At 41.2% G+C, this 23,406-nt stretch overlaps 2 protein-coding genes and 2 pseudogenes across 2 annotated transcripts in view, besides 2 other annotated features; 1 reads left to right on the top strand and 3 right to left on the bottom strand.

The window, feature by feature from the left end:
* The window catches only part of REEP5 (receptor accessory protein 5), a 45,843-nt gene that overhangs the window by 14,434 nt on the left and 8,003 nt on the right, over positions 1-23,406 (top strand). Inside the window, exons 3-4 of the mRNA NM_005669.5 lie at positions 5,276-5,414; positions 20,611-20,779. Of these exons, the coding sequence (NP_005660.4) occupies positions 5,276-5,414; positions 20,611-20,779 (308 nt within the window). The remainder of the gene's footprint in view (positions 1-5,275; positions 5,415-20,610; positions 20,780-23,406) is intronic.
* Positions 9,423-23,406, bottom strand: part of SRP19 (signal recognition particle 19) — a 37,085-nt gene continuing 23,101 nt past the window's right edge. The window contains exon 5 of the mRNA NM_001204199.2: positions 9,423-16,191. Coding sequence (NP_001191128.1) covers positions 16,187-16,191 — 5 coding nt within the window. The 3' untranslated portion in view covers positions 9,423-16,186. The remainder of the gene's footprint in view (positions 16,192-23,406) is intronic.
* Positions 10,926-10,975: a silencer, noted in NCBI's record as "silent region_16238". NCBI's record gives its function as "represses an Ori minimal core promoter by ATAC-STARR-seq in GM12878 lymphoblastoid cells {active_cell/tissue: GM12878}" and the evidence as "EXISTENCE:reporter gene assay evidence [ECO:0000049][PMID:35858748]".
* ZRSR2P1 (ZRSR2 pseudogene 1) lies at positions 14,697-16,166 on the bottom strand (annotated as a pseudogene).
* Positions 15,338-16,537: an enhancer, noted in NCBI's record as "P300/CBP strongly-dependent group 1 enhancer chr5:112226954-112228153 (GRCh37/hg19 assembly coordinates)". NCBI's record gives its function as "activates an origin of replication core promoter dependent on BRD2, BRD4, P300/CBP, MED14 and CDK7 cofactors, with strong dependence on P300/CBP, by STARR-seq in HCT116 cells {active_cell/tissue: HCT116}" and the evidence as "EXISTENCE:reporter gene assay evidence [ECO:0000049][PMID:35650434]".
* XBP1P1 (X-box binding protein 1 pseudogene 1) lies at positions 21,107-22,672 on the bottom strand (annotated as a pseudogene).

Genomic DNA, 23,406 nt, shown 5'->3' with positions numbered 1-23,406 from the left:
GTACGGATGTGCCAAAATGTAAACAGTCTACTGCCCTTTACATACACATGCTCTGTAACCTTCTAGTTTAATAAATTAAAATTCATTTTAATATAACTCCTTTCTCTTTAAATTTCATTTTGTCTATATAAAATGTAGAATTTGAACTAGTTCATCTCTGAGATGTCTTCCAACTCCACACATGGTGATTCCTAATTCTGCTCGATTAATTTTAGAGCTGCCAGCTGCTGCCACAGTTTTGCCAACTATCCTCTGCCTTGTAGTCGTGCCTCTGCTGCTCACCCAGCCCTGGCTTCTCTTGATATCTGCTTTGGGGAAGCAAAATGCTGCCCCAGAACATGGTAGGTGGCTCAGGAGAGAGAATAAGGAAGCCACAGCACTGAGCCTAGGCGGCCAGGCTTTAGAACAGTGGTGAGAATATGACAGTAAGGTGTGCAGAGAGCAGTAAGACTGTGGTGTCTGTCCACAGAAGCTGTATGTGGGTGTGTTAGTTCTGAGCCCAGGATCAGTGTGACTGCCAGAGGATGAGGCGGTACTAGAGACAGAGGAGCCTGTAAAAGAGTGGACCAGGCCTGTGGAGAGAGTGGTAGGAATTGTTGCCTGTTGCCATGGGGTCATTCCAGAACTCCTCTAGGGGTTAGCTGTGCAGGCTGAAGTTCCAGCTAGACAGATACAGGGCTTTTAGATGCAGTTCTTGAAATCTTAGTGAACAGTTTTATTTCAGTGTTGTTATCTTGAATCCTTTTACAAATTTCAGAATATTCAGGTGAGGGTTCTAGATCATATTAGAGTTGACTTATTCTAATTTTAGTAGAGACATTATTCAGTTTGACTTCTACGTCCAACTTTTCTTCTCTTTTGGCCTCTCACTCATTACTGGAAAGGGGTAGCCTGCCCTCTGGCTACAGCTGATTATACCCAAACTGGCCATTTGGATTTCCTTTCTTAGAACACGTAGGGCAGGTGCTGTGAAGACTGGAACTTTGAGGTGGTTTCCAAACACAGTTCTGCATTATGATCACCTGCACAGCCTTGTAAGAGCAGCTGAATCACTAGGTCTGAAGAAGGACCCAGGCGTGTATATTTTTAATAAGTTCTGTAGATGGATGTGGATGATCATCTAAGTTTGAGGACCAGTGGACTAGGACACCAACTCAGAACACTATCCTGTTCACTTCTGATAGTTCCCCCCTGCAAATCCAGGTGAGTAGAGTGGAGGGTAGAATGGACCTCCAGGGATCTGGACACTGAGACTATGACCCTGCCTCCTATTTTTCTGCTCTGTGGCCAGTTTAACCTTTCTCTGGGGTCCCCTCCAAAAGTAAGATTGTGACCTCCTATTGTATGTATAGTAATTCAATAAATATTAAATGCCTACTTTGTACCGGACATTTTGCTGAGTGCTATCCAGCTTGCCACTGAACTGTTTTCTTAATTAGTAAAATAGCATAGGATAGTGAACAAAGCACAGGCTTTGGAGTTAATTTTAAGTGTAAGACCAATCCTTGCTACTTGTAGCTGGGTGCCCTGCACATGTTATTTCTCTACACTAAGCCTCGGTTTCTTCTGCTCAAATACAGGAACAATACCTATCCTACATGGCTATTATGAAGGTTAAATTAAATAATAGGTTTCTACCCCTCCATTCTATGGCTTGGCCATTTTGGCTAGACTGCAAGGGACCTAAGAGCATAGAGCATATCTTATGGTTTCATGAATCCTCTGTGTTGCCTAAATTGCTACCTCTTTATTCTGATACACCAAGTTGGAATATGATTCATATTTGTACAAGGCAGTAGAGTGTTTTGTTGGAGAATCACTTTTATCTACTGAATTGGGACAAGGAAGTCTAATCAGAAGGTATATAAGTATCCTGGGCATGGTGGCTCATGCCTGTAATCCTAGTATTTTGGGAGGCTGAGGCAGGAGGATCACTTGAGCCCCATGAGTTTGAGACCAGCCTGGGGAACAAGGCAAAACCCCGTCTTTATAAAAAAGTACAGAAGTTAGCCAAGCATGATGATGTGAACCTGTAGTCCCAGCTACTGGAGAGGCTGAGGTGGGAGGATCACTTGAGTCCAGGAGGTTGAGGCCGCAGTGAGTTGTGATCATGCCACTGCACTCCAGCCTGGGTGACAGAGCAAGACCCTGTCTCAATCAATCAATCAATCAATCTTTTTAAAAAGAAGATATATAAGTAAATAGCATTCAGAAAACCTCAAGTTTGTTTTTTTTTTGTTTTGTTTTTTTTTTGAGACCGAGTCTTGCTCTGTCACCCAGGCTGGAGTGCAGTGGTGGAATCTCGGCTCACTGCAACCCCCGCCTCCCGGGTTCAAGTGAGTCTCCTGCCTCAGCCTCCCAAGCAGCTGGGATTACAGGCATGTGCCACCACGCCCGGCTAATTTTTGTATTTTTAGTAGAGGTGGGGTTTCACCATGTTGGCCAGGCTGGTCTTGAACTTCTGACCTCAGGTGATCTGCCCACCTCGGCCTCCCAAAGTGCTGGGACTACAGGTGTGAGCCATTGTGCCCGGCCAGAAACCTCAGTTTTAAGCTTTTTTCTTCTCTCACCATGACTACATGGGGCACTTCACTTTTTTGAACCTCACGTTCCTGAGTGAGCTAGACCATCTCTTCCCTTTTTTCTTGTTTTGGGTAGTTTGTGATTGTTATGACACATAAAGACATTTTTTAAATTGAACATTGTGCTATTTTAAATTAAAACAATTAAATGCTTCAATAATATGAGAAGATCTATTAAAAAATCTCTTTAGCTTAATAGACTCATTGGCCTTTTCCTGGCTTCTTTCATATGCCTTGGTTTTCTGCAAAGTTGTGATCAGTGTATGTATTCAATTTGGAGTTCTTTTATTTCTACTTTTCAATGTTACTATATAGTGTTCTAGTATATTAACATGGGGACTTTAGAATTCATATTGTAGATATGAATTAAAAAAGAATTTTTTTTTCCTAGAAGAGCTGAACTGTTAGGCTTCCTGTTTTTCAATCTGTGGAACTTGACTAACATTTAAAAAATAATGAAATAGAATGGAATTTAAAATATCAGAATGGTTTCAGGAAATATCTATTTAAGTTTATATTTTTATGTGAAGATGTCTGTTTACTGGATCATGATGTAAAATGTATGCTTACCGAGGGTTGTGGCCAAAAGAATTTAAAAGCCACTGGATTAACAATGACAGTCCCATCACATTTTGAGGTTTTTACGTCATATTCTAGAAAAGACTGTTTAATTCCCAGGTGTGTCCTGAGAGTTGCTTCTTTTGGAAGTACATAGTTGTGAGCTATTGCGTTCACAAAACTAAGACCTTGAGTGAAATGTAATTACGTATCTCCTCTGCCCAGAATGAATGTACAGGAAACAAATTTTTATTATACTAATAATTAAATAAATCCAATTAAATATGGATAAGCCATACTATACCAAATGAAACACAGCGGGAGAAGAAATCTTACACATAAAGGATATACTGTGTTCTTTGGTTAACATGCTTGTCTACACTTTTCCTTTGGCCTTCTATTACATTCGCCAGCTTCTATCTGAAGGAAGCTAAAAAAATACAGACTTTGTGCATACATTACAAGCCATTTTTTAATAATCAGCTCTCTTAAATTCATTTTATATGATTCTTGTACTTTGAAATATTTGGGGCTGGGTGTGGGAGCCACCAGACTGCACTTTGGGAGGCCAAGGCAGGAGGATTGCTTGAGGCCAGGAGTTCGAGACCAGCCTGGGCAACACAGTGAGACCTTGTCTCTACTAAAAATTTAGCAAGTAGCTAGGTGTGGTGGTGTGTACCTGTAGTACCAGCTACTTGGGAGGCTGAAGTGAAGGGAATTACATAAGCCCAGAAGTTTGAGGTTGCAGTGAGCTATTATTGTGCAACTGCACTCCAGCCTGTGCAGAGACCCTGTCTCAAAAAAATAAAAATTTTGCCTAGTCTTGAAGTTCAAAGCAACATTCACCTTATTACTTGTTCCTCTCTCTGTCTTCCTCATTAGTAATCATCTCATTGAGCTACAATTTTTCCCCTTTTGGTTATTTTCTAAAACTCACACACATAGCTGCTTCTAATTAACTGTACAAGGGCTTTCTTAGTGAGTGACTGAGCATGATTTAGCAGCCTGACTGTCTCTTTGGGGAGCTGATGTTATGGAGTAGCCAATGTATTTGCTTTTTGAAAATTTTTTATTTCAATAGGTTTTTGGGTAACAGGTGGCGTTTGGTTACATGGATAAGTTTTTAGTGGCAATTTCTGAGATTTCGGTGCACCCATCAACTGAGCAGGGTACACTGTACCCAATGTGTAGTCTTTTATCCCTCACTACCCCCAGCCCTTTCCCCAAAGTCCCCATAGTCCATTGTATCTTATGCCTTTGCATCCTCATAGCTTAGCTCCCTGTCAATGTATTTTCAGTAGTTAACCTGTTTCATAGGCTAAACAAGATTCAGAGTTCTTTTATTTTACTGTTTCAGTCCAGCTCAGTTACGATAAATATCTAGATCTGTTAGGATAAGAAATTGTGGAGCTTCAGGTTTAGAATAATGAGATTCCTAGGACTGAAGGAAATTTCTGTGATTTAGAAAATTATTTTAAATGTATTTCCATCCATTTGCAGAATGAATTTTGTTTAAGCAATAGTTAGGGTTGGGAAAGTCCTGTTATTAACTGAGGAGAGGAGGAAAGTCCATAGCCTGTGGATCAGTTAAAGACATTCTGAACTAAATAGACACCATGAGGTTTGTTTTCACCCGTTTACTATAAAATATGCTGTGGATTTTGGGCAGTACCTAACCTATGTTCCAAATGTTGCTTTATGGGAAATTCTTATTCACCCATGATATATCTCAATTATTAAAAGTACATAAGAACCTGGTTATCACGAGAGAATTCTTCCTGATATATCCCTCGTGGCAGGACCCAGCTTGGGAGTGGAAATTGCTCTAGCTCCCAGTCACTAGTGGTATATTCTAGGACTTGTGGGGAGGCTTTGGCAGGGTGGAGATCCAGGGCAGTAACAGCTGGTGCTGGTTTCTCTGGTGACCAGGAGACTAGAAACAAGTGGTTATAATGGCTTGTCCCGATATCCACATTGCTTCCAGTCTTTAAGCTGTACTCTTGCATCTAGTGACACAGTGCCTACATGTGCCTAAGTTTCTCAGTGGTATCAGAGGACAGGTTATGAAAGTGTATTTGAAAATCTTTCATTGATATCTTACCAAATGATATACTTTCTTTTGTACTGCCTTTCAGAATTAAAGCTATAGAGAGTCCCAACAAAGAAGATGATACCCAGTGGCTGACCTACTGGGTAGTGTATGGTGTGTTCAGCATTGCTGAATTCTTCTCTGATATCTTCCTGTCATGGTTCCCCTTCTACTACATGCTGAAGGTATGTTGGTCTTGCTACCACTAAAACTCCATCTCAGTACCTGTATAGAAGAAGTAGGAATAAATGCTTGAATGTTGTGCATCTGTGGCTCTGTCTCAGATTATAAACAAGAAGACAGGCCTGGGCAACAGAGCGAGACTCTGTCTCAAAAAAAACAAAAACAAAAAAATGCTCAAGCAAGCCACTTGCCTCAGCCTCCCGAGTAGCTGGGACCATAGGCGCACACCACTGCACCTGGCTACTCTTTTAAACAATTTTATCTAAAGAAATTTAGATATAGGAAATTAAATATAGGAAGCTCCATCACTCCAACCACCATCATAAATGGTAGTATCTTGAGTTTTAGTTCTGGTTAATTATGGATATATAATTCTTTTTGTCTTTGGTCTTAGCCTTTTTTTTTTTTTTTCTTTTTTTGAGATGGAGTCTTGCTCCGTCGCCCAGGCTAGAGTGCAGTGGCATGATCTTGGCTCACTGCAACCTCCACCCCCCAGGTTCAAGCAATTCTCCTGCCTCAGCCTCCTGAGTAGCAGGGATTACAGGCGCCCACCACCATGCTTGGCTAATTTTTGTATTTTTAGTAGAGACAGGGTTGGTTTTTTTAAAAATCTATTTATTTGTACTTCTTCTGGGAGATTTCTCAATCTGACCTCCTTTTTTTTTTTTCTGAGATGGACTCTTGGTCTGTTGCCCAGGCTAGAGTGCCATGGTACAATCTCCGCTCACTGCAACCTCCGCATCCTGGGTTCAAGTGATTGTCCTGCCTCAGCCTCCCGAGTAGCTGGGATTACAGGCATGTGCCACCACGCCTGGTCAATTTTTGTATTTTTTTTGGTAGAGAAAGAGTTTCACCATGTTGGCCAGGGTGCTCTCGAACTCCTGACCTTAAGCAATCCACCCACCTCGGCCTCCCAAAGTGCTGGGATTACAGGCGTGAGCCACCGTGCCCGGACTCAATCTGACCATCTAATTTTCAACTGTACTCCATGATTACATTATAACCATTCTGTTATTCCTGCTATATACCGTGTTCTTCATTTCAACTATTATATTGTTCACACCTAATGTTTTTGCTTGGCTCTCTTCTTCTTGTCCTTGTTTCATATTGCTAATATTTTCTCATTTCTTTTAGTATGGTTACCGCTCCCCAGTTTAAAATTCTTGGTCAGCAGTTCTAATATTGTTGCTCCTGACCAAAACTTGTAGTTGATTGTGTTGTTTTTCTTTTGAAATGTACTCTTGGCCAGGCGTGGTGGCTCATGCCTGCAATTCTAGCACTTTGGGAGGCCGAGGCGGGCAGATGGCCTGAGCTCAGGAGTTCGAGACCAGCCTGGGCAACACGGTGAAACCCTGTCTCTACTAAAATACAAACGAAATTAGCTGGGTGTGGCAGAGTGCACCTGTAGTCCCAGCTACTCAGGAGGTGAGGCAGGAGAACTGCTTGAATCTGGGATGCAGAGGTTGCAGTGAACCGAGATCACACTACTGCACTCCAGCCTAGGCAACAGAGCCAGACTCCATCTCTAAAAAAAAAAAAAGAAATATATTCTTAAAATATCTTTTTATTTTAGCCTACAAACTGCTTTTCATCCATGAGTATCAGCTATCCCATCAGGCACTGGAATGGAGGGGGCCCCAGTCCATGCTAGTACTAGTAAGTTCTGGGTAGGGGGTGGATGAGTCCTAGGAGTGGGGGGCCCCAGGCACACAGGAACCATAGTTAACCACTCTTCACCTACAGAAGAGCTCCTCAGGTCAAAGCTTCACTGTACAGTCCCCTTCTACCCCAGCAAAGCAGCATCAAAAGGAAGTGATCCTGGGTTATAGTTCACAGCTCTAGGGGTTGGAGCAGGAGGGGTAGGGAAGTAACTGCCTTTAGTTAGTGTCCACCTGTTTTCCTGAGTGATTTGCAAAGACAGGACTTTTATGCCAAAACCTCTGTTTTAGAAAAAAGTAGAGGACAATATTTTTTAACTTTGAGGTATAGAAGCAAGACAAAATACAAAAGTTTCAAAGAAAAAGATTTGATAAATTCAACTAAAAATTTCTAAAAATTAAATTTCTATATGACAGTGGGCAGCATAAACAAAGTTAAAATAATGACAGACTAGGAAGATAGATTTACAACATTTACACCAAATAAGGAATATCCAGAATACATAACAATTTCCATAAGTAAAAAGAAAAAGAAAATGGGAAAAGGTTCTAAGTTAAGTATTTCACGGAAGAGAAAAAATATGAATGGCTAGTAAACAGCTCACCAGTGATGTGGGAAGTGTGAGTTAAAATAGTGAAATCCCATATTTTGTTCATTAAACTGGCAGATATTTTAAAGATTGAAAATATCTGGTATTGGTGAATGTATAGGGAAATGGACATGTAATGGTACAGGCTGAACATCTGAAATTGGAAATCCTAAATGCTTTAAAACCCCAAACTTTTTGAGTGCCCACATAATGATCAAAGGAAATGCTCATTGGAGCATTTAGATTTTAGAGTTTCTGATTTGGTATGCTCAGTTGGTATAATGTACATATTCCAAAATCTGAATAAATGTGAAACCCGAAACACTTTTAGTCCCAAGCATTTCACATAAGGGATACTTAACAGCCTAGTGGTATAAACTTGAATAACCTTTTTAAGGGACCTTTTAACCATTTCTTGTTGAATTGAAAAATGATACTCTTAACAATTCTAAGGAAATAGTCACTGTGCATTAAAGAGCTGCACAAAGATATTCATGGCAGCATTTTTTGTTGTCAACTGTATATAATATGAACTGCATAATGTAAACATTATAAACAGAAATGTCCATCAGCAGGTAAATGGTTCATTCAATTAATAGTATATCCATACAGTTAAATGGAATGAAATAGATCCATATGTACAGACCCAGAAATTTTTGCATAATTTAGTAATTATGAAAAGTTATACAGGACAGTTGTGCTAGCTTTTGCCTGTAATCCCAGCATACTCGGAGGCCAAGGCAGAAGGACTGCTTGAGGCCAGGAGTTTGACACCATCCTGGGCAACATGGTGAGACCCTGTCTCCACACACACAAATTTAAAAATTAACCAGGCTCCCAGATCACAGCATGTTGACCAAAAAAAAAAAAACCGAAAACCAAAAAACAAATGCCAGGCATGGTGGTGCATGCCTGTGGTCCCATCTGCTCAGGAGGCTGAGGTGGGAGGATGGTTTGAGCCCAGGAGTTCAAGGCTACAATAAGCAATGATCACCCAACTGCACTCTAGCCTGGGTGACAGAGTGAGACCCTGTCTCGAAAAAGAAAAAAAGTAATAGAACATTAAATACAGTATCACACCATTTATGGTTAAAAAAGAAAAAAGACAAGACACTATATGAAGTGAGTGTCTTTTAAAGTTTAAAAAATTAAATGAAAACATGCTCAGTATAGATTCTTTTATATTTTTGAATGACTTCACCACAGAATGCCTTGTAAGGCAATTAAGAATTTTCCTTTCAAAACTGATGGAAGAAAATAAAAATTGGTCTGTGGAAAGAGTTGATTTCAAAGATTGGATTTTTTTGTTTTTATTATTCAAAGTCATTTAACATTTATAAAAATATTCTTACAATCTTTAATTTGGACATGACATAATTTAAACTTCAGATAATTTTAAAGCCCTTAATAAGATCCATCTAATCGTAGGGACCTCACAGTAGTCTTTAGTGGAAAGAAATTGGCTTTTGCTTTGGGCCCACTTGCTTGTGGCAGTGAACACTATCTTGTCAGCAGAACTACTTGCAGTAGTTCTGACCTCAGACTTCCAAATGTGAGCAAGCTTGACTTCTAGCCTACTCCTAATCACCTCTGCTAATGGAGTTCACAGAGAGGTAGAGAGAAGATCCAAAATAAATGGTAGTCACTGAATCATTTATATTTGGTTTTGAAGTTCATTTAAAATATTGCTTTGTAGCAGACTTTCTTCCCTAATGGTAAAATGAATGTGCATCCATTAGTAGTCTCCAGCTGCATGGCATCATAGTGTTCATGAAAGTGAATTTATTGCATACATTCCAAATAGATAACATACTTGAAAGGATTAAACATTCATGATGCTGTCAATCAAAATACTTTCTTCCTACATTAGTGGCATACTCTGAATGACCTAGTGAACAGACTGAGAAGAGGCCTCTGAATTGCAGAGTCTCGTCTGTAGGAGAAGGTTCAGGAGAGTATTGAATTTTAGGGACTAGAATCCATCTTACCTATGCTGTTGCAATCGCATGCTGACTGGAAGTGTGGGAAAGAGACTTACAAGTAAGGACATGGGTTTGTTTTGTTTTTTGTTTTTTGGGACAGAGTGTTGCTCTGTCACCCAGGCTGGAGTGCAGTGGTGCCATCTTGGCTCACTGCAACCACTGCCTCTCCAGTTCCAGCGATTCTCCTGCCACAGCCTCCCAAGTAGCTGGGATTACAGGCACGCACCACCACACCCAGCTAATTTTTGTATTTTTAGTAGAGATGGGGTTTCGCCGTGTTTGCCAGGCTGGTCTCAAACTCCTGACCTCAAGTGATCTGCCCGCCTCGGCCTCTCAAAATGCTGGGATTACAGGTGTGAGCCACTGCTCCCAGCCCGAGGACATGTTTAATATTTTATTTTTTGCAGAGTTAATATTGTTGGCTTTATTTTCATTTTTCTAAAGCAGCTGATAAGATTGGAGGAAAATAAAAGGAGCCAATGGCTTGGCATCAAAGCTTAGTTGAGAAGATAATATATGATGTATTTAGGTAGAAATTGGATCATGCATATTCTGAGCTTTGCTCTGACATCTGGCCTTGAGCAAGAGGGTTTAAAAATAAATTTAAAAGCTTTTTTTCTTGATTATGAAATTTACATATGCTCATTCCTTTATTCAGCAGATTTATTTAGAACCTCCATGTGCCAGATTCTGTTCTACATCTGGGAGATACTTTGGCGAATAAAACAAAGTCCTTGTTGTCCTACTGTTTACATTTGTGTGTGTGTGTGTGTGTGTGTGTGTGTGTGTGTGTGTGTGTGATGGGATGTGTTTTATGTAGGGAGGAAAATAACATTTGTAATCCTACATCTTAGAGTAGTCTTCCTATTTTTTAAAATGTGCAAATATATTGGTCTGTGTATATAAATAAAAACAGAACTCTGTGTGTATGTGTATATATATATGTATGTATTGCTGTCTTAACATATGTGTGGCTTAGATCACATATGATATATAATTCTGTGTCTTGCTTTTTTCAATTAACACAGTATTCTGAGTATTTTCTCATGTTATTCAGTATTTTTTGACATAGCTATCTAATGTTATTGATAATTTACCTACTTCCCAATTGAAAGACATTGAGGACATTTGTCATGCGATTATACATAATGCTGCAATTAATATCTTTGTATCCTCTGTTTACCTTCATTTAAATCATTTTCTAGATTTACTTTACTTTTTTTGAGACGGAGTCTTGCTCTGTCGCCCAGGCTGGAGTGCAGTGGCGTGACCTCTGCTCACTGTAACCTCTTTCCCAGGTTCAAGTGATTCTCCTGTCTCAGCCTCCCGAGTAGCTGGGACTACAGGTGCACAACCACGCCCGGCTAATTTTTGTATTTTTAGTAGAGACGGGGTTTCACCATGTTGGCCAGGCTGGTCTCAACTCCTGACCTTGTGATCCACCCACCTCAGCCTCCCGAAGTGCTGCAATTACAGGCGTGAGCCACCAGGCCTGGCTAGATTTATTTTTAGAACAAGGTTGAGTAAACTCTGGCAAGATTAGGTCCTGACCTGAATTGTCACCTGTGCTATTTCACCCATTGACAGAGAATATAACATTTTTCTTTTCTTTTTTCTTTTTTTTGAGATGGAGTTTCGCTATTTCACTCAGGCTGGAGTGGAGTGAAGTGGCGTGATCTCTGCTCACTGCAACCTGTACTTCCCGCATTCAAGCAATTCTCCTGCCTCAGCCTCCCAAGTAGCTGGGATTACAGGTGCCCACCACCACGCTAGGCAAATTTTGTATTTTTAGTAGAGATGGGGTTTCACCATGTTGGCCAGGCTGGTCTCAAACTCCTGACCTCAGGTGATCCTCTTGGACACCTCAGCCTCCCAGAGTGCTAGGATTACAGGCGTAAGCCACTGTGCCTCGCAACATTTTTCTTCTTAATGTTCGTAGGAGGCTAAAAAGACAGGGAAATCTTTCCTTTAACACGTTCTTTTAAGCTTTTATTTGTGCATGCTGAGCAATGTAGCCTGTAACTATTCTGTGGCTACACTGCAAAAGCTTTCTTCTGACATTAACTCTCAGTTCCGTAACTGCATGTTAAGCATACCCCTACCTGGGAAATATCTCTTCTGGGGGAAAATCACATGGTGACAGCATTAGAAGCACAGACGGAATAGAATGGCCTGTTGTAATTCGTAATTTAAGGAGTCATTGTGTCAGTGCTAATAGTGCCAAGAGTCCAGTTAAAATAGCATGGACTCTGTCTGAACTGCAGGCAGCAGTGGGCTTGTGAGTCTCCTTGGGAGTATCATCAGCTGGCACTTTGAGGGCAGCTTGATTGAAAAGAGCCAGATCTGTGTGGGTGACTTTAATAAACTCAGGCTATTCCTGGGCTGTAGAATAGTTACACAGATTAAGAAGAGAGGGTTGTAAGAGGTGGCAGCTGAATATCACCTTGGGAGTTGAACAGTAATTAACTTTATTTTTAACATAAGAAAATGATTTCATTTCAGAACAGGAAAATGCTAAGGATGTAGCTAGAGAGCAGTAATTATTTTACTGTCTCAAGACAATAGCTAGAGGGTACCAGAAAGTAGTCAATTAACAGTCTGCAGTCTAGCCTACAAAGTAATCACATTGAAGAGGTACAAAACTGTGGACACTTAATTCATCCAGAAAAGATAATAAGCTTGTCTGGATTGCTGAAGGGTTGGCATCTACATAGGCAGGTAATATTTCAGAGATTTTCCACAATAAGAACTTTAGGATTTGGTAATACTACTATTCTATTGTACACTTTCTTCAAGTACATTAATTTGTGACTTTCCTAAAACTCTGCAGAAGAGAAAACTGTCTCTTAGGTTGATTTGCCTAAAGTCATAAAACACACCCCACCTCTCCTGATTTTTTTTTTTTTTTTTTTTTGAGACAGAGTCTCGCTCTGTCGCCAGGCTGGAGTGCAGTGGCGCAATCTCAGCTCACTGTAACCTCCGCCTCCTGGGTTCCAGTGATTCTCCTGCCTCAGCCTCCTGAGTGGCTGGGACTACGGGTGCCCACCACAATGCCCGGCTATTTTTTTTCTAATTTTAGTAGAGACAGGGTTTCACCATGTTGGCCAGGATGGTCTCGAACTCCTGACCTCGTGATCCACCTGCCTCGGCCTCCTAAAGTGCTGGGATTACAGGCGTAAGCCACTGCGCCCAGCCCCACCTCTCCTGATTCTTAATCCAATGAGTCATTTTCACTTCACCTTAATGCTCTGGTTTTAATATGGACATCTGTCTCTCTCTTGATAATCCATTTCTGAAAATCAGATATTCTATGTAGGAATACATTCTATGCAGAAGCTTATTTTCCACTATTTTAAGTGGGAAAAATTTTAATGTATTACATGTCAATGTAAAACTCAACGAATTCACTAAGTATTAATAAAATACAGCAAAATACCTATATATAACAAATATCATGTTAGGATGTTAGATGCTAAAAACACTTGCTGCTCTCCAAATAGTTAATATAGTAAGTAACAATTGCTCTGTGTGCAGGAATACATAGCACATCCCCTGTGATGCTCTGCATATTCTTCAAAATGTCCACCAAGGATTCTGATATTCTGTCAAAAATGTTACTCAAGACATTTCCTGCATATCATAATGTTGTATTGCATTTTGGGGATGTATAGCTTTTCCTATATAAGCAACTACAGTAAAACATTGTATGAATTTTGGATATTAAAAACCAAAAGGCAGCAGGGTGCAGTGGCTCACGCCTATAATCCTAAGCACATTAGGAGGCCAAGGTGGGCAGATCACGAGGTCAGATCAAGACCATCCTGGCCAACATGGTGAAACCCTGTCTCTACTAAAATACAAAAAATTAGCTGGGCACGGTGGCATGCGCCTGTAGTACCAGCTACTCGAGAGGTTGAGGCAGGGGAATCACTTGAATCTGGGAGGCGGAGGTTGCAGTGAGCTGATCACGCCACTGCACTCCCGCCTGGCAACAGAGCAAGACTCCGTCTCAAAAAAAAAAAAAAAACAAAAAAAACCAAAAAAACAAAACCAACCAAAAGGCTTCCACAGGGAAATAACTAGAGAGGTGGTCTTGCAGGGTCTGCTGTAATTAACTGGCACTATGCCAAGGAAACAAAGCTAATGCCAGTGAAAAATACAGTCATTTAATTCTCCATTTTGGGTCAATGCAAATGCGTATCTCAAAAAAACCAAGGTTCTGAACCTCTGGCAACATCTTATAATTCAGTAAGATCTGCTGCTGGCTAAACTTAGGGCATGCTAGAGCAGAGTTGCTGGGAAAACTAAGAGTAACATCGAACTACTTGCACATACTGAGGGTACCTCAAGGCGCTGGCTTCCTTGGAGTGCTTGGACCTTTAACAGAAGGTCTTAGTCTACCATTGTGTGTGTGCAGAAGGCTGATTTGAGTTTTTGCATGATTGCACATTCATGCACGTAGCATTACTATCCATGTGTAGCGAGACTACTAGATGCTAGTCTGAGTCTTTACCTTTCCATCATCTACTGTCATGCTTTCCCAAGTCTGAAGATCCTGTTTTCCAAGATCTGTGCTCAGTAAACAAGCTTTGGAGTCTTTAAATGTAAGGAATAGGAAAGGTGAAGAGAGGCCTGGCTTAAAATCATAACATGGAGATTATGGCAGTGAATCCCATTGGATTGAATGGTCTGATATGGAAAGCAGGCTGTGTAGTTCCACTAGTCCAAAAATTCTATTTTTTGAGACACAGTCTCGCTCTGTCACCCAGGCTGGAGTGAAGTGGCATGATGTCGACTCACTGCAACCTCCGCCTTCCAGATTCAAGCGATTCTCCTGCCTCAGCTTCCCAAGTAGCTTGGATTACAGACGCCTGCCACCACACCTGGCTAATTTTTGTATTTTTAGTAGAAATGGGGTTTTGCCATGTTGGCCAGGCTGGCCTCAAACTCCTGACCTCAAGTGATCCACCCACCTCAGCCTCCTAAAGTGCTGGGATTACAGGTGTGAGCCACTATACCTGGCCTGGTCCATTCTTTTTTTTTTTTTTTTTTTTTTTAAGAACAAAACTAGTTTATTTGGATTGGGGACTCTGAACAGTTCTGTCTCTATTACCCGACTTCCTCCTCCCACGACTTCGGCACCTAGAGGAACTTTGGCTCCGGCTGCGGTGGCTCCTGCGGCTCTGGCTCCGGCGGCCCTGGTCCCAGCTGCGGTGCCTATTTCTTCCTCTGCTTGGTGAATTGTGCCTCTCCCGACTCTTTGATGTGCGTTTGTGAGATTTCTTCCCCCTATGACTACTCTTTTTTCTCTCGGATTCCCCATTTCTTTTGTAGGTGTGGTCTGGACTAGGGTTTCTCCTTCCCCGCTGCCTGCTGTAGTAGTGGTCGTGGTGGCCCATCTTCTCCCTCCTCTCGGAGTTCTTGCCAAAGGAGGAGCCAGTCTGATCTGAAGACAAGTAGATGTCTCTATTAGCTTCCCAGAATTCATTGTTGGGATTTCTGAACACATGAAGAAAGTTGCAGTGTTTTCCTCTTGGACATTGTTGTATTTCAAATAAACCACAAATCGCCATTTTCCACCGGGTCACTGGGCAGAATTCACATTGCAGCTGTCGTCCTGCATACCATCGTCCGTTAAACAGAGAAAGGGCTGCTTGGCATTCTTCTTCCGACTGGTACTGAACATATACATTGCCCCTCAGGTGAGGTTCCAAATTGCAGCTGACCTTGAACTGAATCACTTTCCCCACGTTCTTGAACTCGGGCAACACATCCTCATAGAAATCTAGGAACTGTTGGTAGGTTTCTTCCTCGCTGTACTCCAGGCTTGCGTCAGGGTCATAGTCATCCCTCCTGCACTGCTCCATTCCAAACGTTGTAAACATGCTCTTAATAAGAAGGGTAGGACTAGATGTTGGGAAATTATGTTTACGTGAACATCTGTCTCCAAATCTGCAAGCTCCTGTTTTACTGTAGAAGGGACAATTAGCTCGATCCTTCTCCATTACTCTGAAATCCACGGGTGGTTCTGGGTTTTGCCATGTGGTACTATTTTCTAAATCATTTTCAGCCTGATCCAGCATCTTCTGCACAGCTTCCTCTTTTTCTTTCTTCTCCTGTTGTTTCTGCTCCTCCTCTTCTCTCTCTTTCCTCTGCTGTTCTTTCCATTGTTCCTTTAACTTTCTCTCTTGTTCTTCTAGCCATTTTTTAGCCGCCTCTTCCTTTTCCTTCTTTATTCTGAATTCTTCTTGTGCCTTCTGCTCCCTCAGCAACCACTCCTCATGTAATCTTTCCCTCTCTCTTTCCAATAGCTTCTCTTCTTCTAGTTGTTGTTCTTCAATAAAAGTGTCCTCTTCCTCCTCCTGTGAGAGTCCTGAGTCTCTCAGTCGAGCAAGTTCCTGCCGACGTTTCTTTCGTTTCTCCTTCTTCAGGGCGGCCCTGTACTTTTTGTGGCTTGGTTTCTCTGGAAATGTCATCTTCTTGGGAAACGTCATCTTCTCAAGTGCAGCCATCTTGCCAGCACCGCCTGACCCCTCAGACATTCTTAACCTATGGGAATATATGGAAGATTTTGTTCATAGCTGCCACTGTCAGTGATTCTACTTATGAATATTTTATGTTTTCTAGTATTGTTTTGTTTGCATACTTATATATATTACAAATTACTTTCATTTTGTTTCTCCTTTATATTGCAGTTAGACTTTTTTTGTAATTAAGTATATCATAAATTTGAATTTCATTTCATGTACTAAAAGGAGAGTTCTAAAATATTTACTTATGGCCAGGTGCGGTGGCTCACTCCTGTAATCCCAGCACTTTAGGAGGCCGAAATGGGCGGATCACCTGAGGCCAGGAGTTTGAGACCAGCCTGGCCAACATGGCAAAAACTCATCTCTACTAAAAATAAAAAAATTAGCCAGGCTTGGTAGCACGTGCCTGTAATCCCAGCTACTTGGGAGGCTGAGGCAGGAGAACTGCTTGAACCCAGGAGGCAGAGGTTGCAGTGAGCCAAGACTGTGCCACTACACTCCAGCCTGGGTGACAGAGTGAGACTCTGTCTCAAAAATAAAAAATAAAAATAAATATTTGCTTAAATATTTTTGGTTCTAGGATTTGCTTTCCCCTACTGAAAGCTAACATGTTCTCCTGTTAGTAATGTTTCATAGATGTTGTTAGAAAACACAGTATTCTTGGGTCAGAGAAAGTCCTTGCTATGCTTAGTAATTTTATTTTCTTACAAAATTATAGGGGTAAATTTTAAAATTTTCAATTAATACCTATTTTATAGAGGAAAAACCAGACTTAAGTGATTAAGTAACTTGTATAAGGTTTGCTTAGCTAGTAAATGGCAGAACCAGGATTGGAAGTTAGTTTCTTTGAGTCCATCCTGTTACTCTCTATATACTATATTAACTCTTTGAATCCCTCTTTGTTGGGTTGAGAGATCTGTATATATCTTTAGAGTGAGATTTTAGGCCAGGTGCAGTGGCTCACACCTGTAATCCCAGCACTTTAGGAGGCTGAGATGGGTGGATCACTTGAGGTCAGGAGTTCGAGACCAGCCCGGCCAACATGGCGAAACCCCATCTCTACAAAAAGTACAAAAATTAGCCAGACGTGATGGTGCGTGCCTGCATGCCTGTGGTCTTCAGCTACCTGGGGGGCTGAGGCGGGAGAATCACTTGAGCCCAGGAAGTTGAGGCTATAGTGTTTTGTATTTGTGCCACTGCACTCCTGCCTGGGTGACAAAGTGAAACCCTTTTTTATTTAAAAAAAAAAAAAGACTTAAATTTTGTGTTCTTTATTCTGTATTCTTACTAATTTCTAGGTTGTTTTATATATCAACTTTTTTTTGTCTTTTTGAGACAGGGTCTTGCTGTCTCACCAAGCCTGGATTGCAGTGATGGTATCACAGCTCACTGCAGTCTCGACCTCCCAAGGTCAAGCCACCCTCCCACCTCAACCTCCCAGGAGGACCACAGGCATACATCACCAAGCCTGGCTAATTTTAAATTTATTTTTTGTGGCCGGGTGCGGTGGCTCACGCCTGTAATCCCAGCACTTTGGGAGGCCGATGGGGGTGGATCATTTGAGGTCAGGAGTTCAAGACCAGCCTGGCCAACATGGTGAAACCCCGTCTCTACTAAAAATACAAAAATTAGCTGGGCATGGTGGTGTTTGCCTGCAGTCCCAGCTACTTGGGAGGCTGAGACAGGAGAATCGCTTGAATCCGGGAGGCGGAGGTTGCAGTGAGCTGATATTGTGCCACAGCACTCCAGCCTGGGTAAGAGAGCAAGAATCAGTCTCAAAAAAAAAAAAAAATTTTTTTTTTCCTAGAGATGTGGTCTCCCTATGTTACACAGGCTAGTCTCAAAACTCTTGGGCTCATGTGATCCTCCAACCTCAGCCTCCCAAAGTGCTGGGATTACAGGTGTAAGCCTGGCTAGTATATCAATTTCTGATGGAAATGTTAAAATCTATGATTGCAGATTTTGTCCATTTGTCTATATAATTCTGACTTACATTTAAATATTTCAAAGCCATATTTGAAAGCTATCTATAGCTATATATAAATATATAATTATAAAAATAATTCTATTGCAAACATATGCAAAGTTAGATATAATTTACGTATTTCAAAGGTATATACAAGTTCAGGAATTTTAATATTCTTGGTGAATTGCTTTCCTTCTTTATCATCCTATTTACTTATTTTGCCTTAAGTAATTTGTATGTATTAATATTGCTAATGAGCTATTTTGGGAGTTGGTGTTTGTCTGATATATCTTTCCCATAACTTTATTTTCAGTGTTCCTATTTGGTTTTGTTGTAGGTATGTTTCTTAAGCATACAGCTATAGTTTTGGGGTTTTATAAAAAATTTAGTCCTATAGTGTCTGGGTTTTGTTTTGTTTTTGAGATGAGCTCTTGCTCTGTTGCCCAGGATGGTCTCTGCATTTGTCTGTTCTCATGCTGCTAATAAAGACATAGCCGAGACTGGGCAATTTATAAAGGAAAGAGGTTTAATTGACTCACAGTTCCACATGGTTGTGGAGACCTCACAATCATGGTGGAAGATGAAGGAAAAGCAAAGGGATGTCTTACATGGTGGCGGCAGGCAAGAAAGAATGAGAGCCCAAGCGAAAGGGGAAACTCCTTATAAAACTATCACATCTCGTGAGACTTATTCACTACCATGAGAACAGTATGGCAGGAAACCACCCCCATGATTCAGTTATCTCTCACCCTGTCCTTTCCACAACACATGAGAATTATGGGAGCTACAGTTCAAGATGAGATTTGGGTGGGGACACAGCTAAACCATGTCAGTCTCCAACTCCTGGGCCCAAGCAATCCTTGCACCTTGGCCTCCCAAGTCACTGGGACTACAGGTGCATGCCACCATGCCTAGCAAGTCTCTGTCTTAAAAACTCTTGTGCATGTGTAACAAATTTTAATTCACAAAGGTTACATTTCAAGAGTTACTTTTTACTGTAGTTGAGATAAGGGGAGTCTGGACAACATTGTGACACTTGTCTCTACAAAAAAAAGTTATAAAAAATTAGCCAGGCCTGGTGGTTCATGCCTGCAGTCATTCCCAGCTACTTGGGAGGCTGTGGGAAGATTGTTTGAACCCAGGAGTTCAAGGCTGCAGTAAGCCATGTTCATGCCACTGCACTCCAGCCTGGGTGACAGAGCAAGACTCTCAGAAAGAATAATCTGGAGATATTGTTGAGAACTTGGGTTTTGTTTTTTATTTTGAGTGTTATACAAGTTCAAAGTCTAGTATAAATTTCTCAGAGCCAACATGGTGCTGATGGAGTGAGCTATTTGTGCATTTTAAACTGAAACTCTTGTCATTAGTGTTAGCCCTTTATCAGCTTTGTATCTCTAAAACACCTGAAAGACTGTCTTAGAAAACCATCATAGCTTGTTGATTATGAGTACATCCCTTGGTTTGGAATCATAAGGACTAAGACTTAAATTTAAAGCATGAGAAATTAAGATGTTTTTACACTAAGGAGAAGTTGTAAAAAATACTGATTTGGAATCTCTGTAAGTGACTTCTGTTTTTTTGTAGAGTCACCTAGGCTGTGTGGAATACAATGTGGTTAGAATCTTTTAAACTAAAATAACTCAGTATATTGTTTATTAAACTTTCTAGGGAAATGGGCAGATTACTCTGAATATTCCTTTTCCTTCTGCTTTTCTTTTTATCTTAAAAAGGAGTAAATTGCATGGATGACTTGAAGTGACGAGTTGGTATTTATTATTTGAATCAACAGTAAAAATTTTTTGGACATAGTGTGAAAATCCTTATTTAAGTAATTAGGGCAGAATTCTTGTCAATTAAAAAAAAATCTCAATGGCAAAGTAGAGCTGTAAAGAAGGAGTTAGGAATAATAACTACATTCAAGATGAAAGATGAAGAACAACTGTAAAGATTCCTTGAAGGCTAAGATCTACCCAAAACTGAGGTCCACCAAAGGAAGAATTCAGGAATGGACAAGGTATTTTTTCCATAATAGGATGAATAAATGTGATAAACTTACCAAGATAAGCCTACCAAGCACAGGCCTCCTAGATATTAGGCTTATCTGTACAGGGCTTTATACATGCAGATAAGTACTATATTTTCTTAAATTGATTTCTAAGAGTTATGATTAATAAAAGCCTCTTACAGCTATATACTAAAACGTGGTCCAAGTTAGGAAGATAGTTAAGCTCCTGGACCTGGTGTGTTTTACCTTTTGTTTTTTAGTCTCAGCTTTTCCTTACCAGCTCATTACTCATCATGTTTTTTCCATCTAAAGAAAGCCCACCTTTAACCTGCAGAAAACACTGGTAATGCCTTTGGGGAAAATAACAGAGGCATCTCCCATCCCCAGAGTAGTGAAAGACAGTGTGTATTCTCAGAATGTGCCCCCTCCACCCTCCTGTTACCCATGCTGGCTCTTTTTCTGTGCAGTGTGGCTTCCTGTTGTGGTGCATGGCCCCGAGCCCTTCTAATGGGGCTGAACTGCTCTACAAGCGCATCATCCGTCCTTTCTTCCTGAAGCACGAGTCCCAGATGGACAGTGTGGTCAAGGACCTTAAAGACAAGGCCAAAGAGACTGCAGATGCCATCACTAAAGAAGGTAAGACTCAGGAACAAGATGGCCCCACATGTGAGAGGAGATGTGACACACTGGGCTCAAATAACAGGCTTCCTGGCCTTCTTGTCTTATCACCACCCCTCAGCCAAATGCCAACATTACTCTGGGATTTCTTTACAAAGTCTTTGCCTATTGAGAACACTTACAGTTCTCGACTTTTCCCAAGACTCTTCCTCCATGCCACATTTAATGTAGCCTTCAGTCAGAACATTAGGAAAAATGACTTTCCTTGGTAGGCAGCGATTTTAGAGAATCATCTATATTGATATGCAAGTCCATCTCTTCTAATTGTTTATTTAATTTTTTTGTATTATACTTAATTACATAGGTAGTTTTAAATAAATGGAGAAAGCACCTTTCAAAAGCTATACTAGCAGGAAAAATTCCATCAAGCATTTACGTAGTAAATTTCTATAATTTTACAAAAAATTCTTGATCTTTACTTGAACTGTACATGAGGGGAAAAGAGCCCCCTCAGGTATGTGTTCTCTCCACTTGCAGAAGAAAACTAAAGGACCTAAAACTAGAGACAAGCCTGGGATGCCAAAAAGCGGGAGGAGAAATGATAAAGAGCCATTCATGAATTCCATGTCTACTCTAAGACACTTGTCTAATCACCCTCACATAATAAATATTTAGGGCAAACTACCACTCTTTAGAAAAAGTACAACCTCAAAACCTATAGTTCTGAATTGTAACATATCGAATACCTTGGACTGCTGGATGCCAAAAGACAATACTTGGGGTTATCTATGACGTTTAAACAGGTAAATAGGGGAATTCTCTAGGACTGTACACTCTGTGACGTTTTGAATGAAGCGCAGGCAGGCTTCTCTGCTATCCTCCAGGCAGTGTAATAGTCAAGGAAAAGAGCAACAGTATTGGATCACTCCTTAGACACTAACCAGCTGGTGAAAGAGTTCATTGGCCAGTCTCCTCCTTAGAATGGTTTGCACCAAGTGGAGAGGCCATGTCGCTGAAGGGGAAAGGGGAGCCCTCATACCCACAGTCACTGTAAACATCCAGTAGACAGGAAGATGGCTTCGGGCAGTGGCTGGATGGAAGTAGATTGGAGATACCCAGGTCTGGAATGAAGTCATCTTCCACAAAGTCTTCCTTCACTGAGACCACGAATTCTGGGTGATCATTCTCTAAAAGGCTGAGAGGTGCTTCCTTGATTTTCACTACCGCATTAGCTTGGCTCTCTGTCTCAGACTACGGGCTTGGCATATATGTAGTCAAAATTAATTAGTTCATTAATAGCTTCAAGCTTGGCTGATAATGTCCCCACTGACAGAGAAAGGGAGGCTGGTTAGGAATTGGGTCCTTCTGAGTAGACCTCTGGGAGCTGCTCCAGGCTGGCAGACCCTGGGGAAGGACATTTGAAGAACACTAGTGGGTCTAAGTTGTCCAGAATGCCCAACAGGATATCATACTGGGAAGGTAGTTGATGTTTACTTCCAACCCCACCACAACTAACTTCTACCCTCATCTGCCTAGTTAGGGATGTCAAGCATCAAATAGATGGAATTATCTTGGCTTTCGCCTCCTCTTCAGTAACCAGAGCATCCATCCCCAAGTGCTGTCTTCACTCATGGTTCTCAACTACGAGTCCATGCATTTTCTCTTGTAAAAACTGATTTTCTAGCAAAAGTTTTTGGTTCTGTTCTAAATCTACCACTTGCTGTTTCAGGTCACTCATTTGAGCTTGCTTTCTGTCTCTGGCAGTTTGAGCTGCTAATCCTGTTTTTCCTCCTCAGTGCCTTCTCCTTGGGGCTCCCCACCCCCACAGCACTCACCATCTCCTGGCTGGCTCCTCTCTGGGCTGGCACCATGAGCAGCAGGGCCTAGCTGGCCAAGGCTGTAGCAGCAGGCTGACCAGACAGAAGCAGTACTTTGGAGGCCCTGACGGCCAGCCTGATTCAGTTCAGATTGATCGGTTCAGTATGCTGTTCAGTTTTTGTTATGGGTACAAAAGAATGTCCACTCTCAGCTCTGATTAATTCACTCAATAAATATTTATTTATTGAGGTGTTTAATATGTGCCAAGCATGTTCATAACACTGGCAGTGAACCAGCATACCGAAGAGACCATACTCCTTGAATTCATGAAGCTTACAGTCTAGTTGAGAGATAGGCAGTAAAATTGAAAATTAGATAGTATATTTACCATATAATATAGGGAAAAAATAAAGCAAGTAGAAAGATGGGGGGGGGCCAAGGACTGGAGGGATGGTTATGATTTTAAATAGAGACGTTTAGGAAATCTATACCAGAAGGCTCTACTGAATCAGACTCAATAGTAGTAAAGGAATCAGGAACAGTGACTCAGCCTGTAATCCCAACATTTTGGGAGGCTAAGGCAGGAGATCACTTGAGGCCAGAAGTTTGAGACCAGCTTGTTTGTGACAGGGTCTCCTATGGAGACCCGCTCTCTACAAAAATTTAAAAATTAGCCGGACGTTGTGATGCAAGCCTGTGGTGCCAGCTACTCAGGAGGCTGAGGCAGGAGGATCACTTGGGCCCAGGTAATCAAGGCTGCAAGTGAGCTGTGCCACTCTAGCCTGGGTTACAAAGCAAAACCCTATCCCCCTAAAAAAAAAAAAAAA

The sequence above is a fragment of the Homo sapiens genome, chromosome 5, assembly GCF_000001405.40.
Source record: "Homo sapiens chromosome 5, GRCh38.p14 Primary Assembly".
NCBI classification, from domain to species: domain Eukaryota; kingdom Metazoa; phylum Chordata; class Mammalia; order Primates; family Hominidae; genus Homo; species Homo sapiens.
This window is presented reverse-complemented; position numbering and strand designations above follow the sequence as displayed.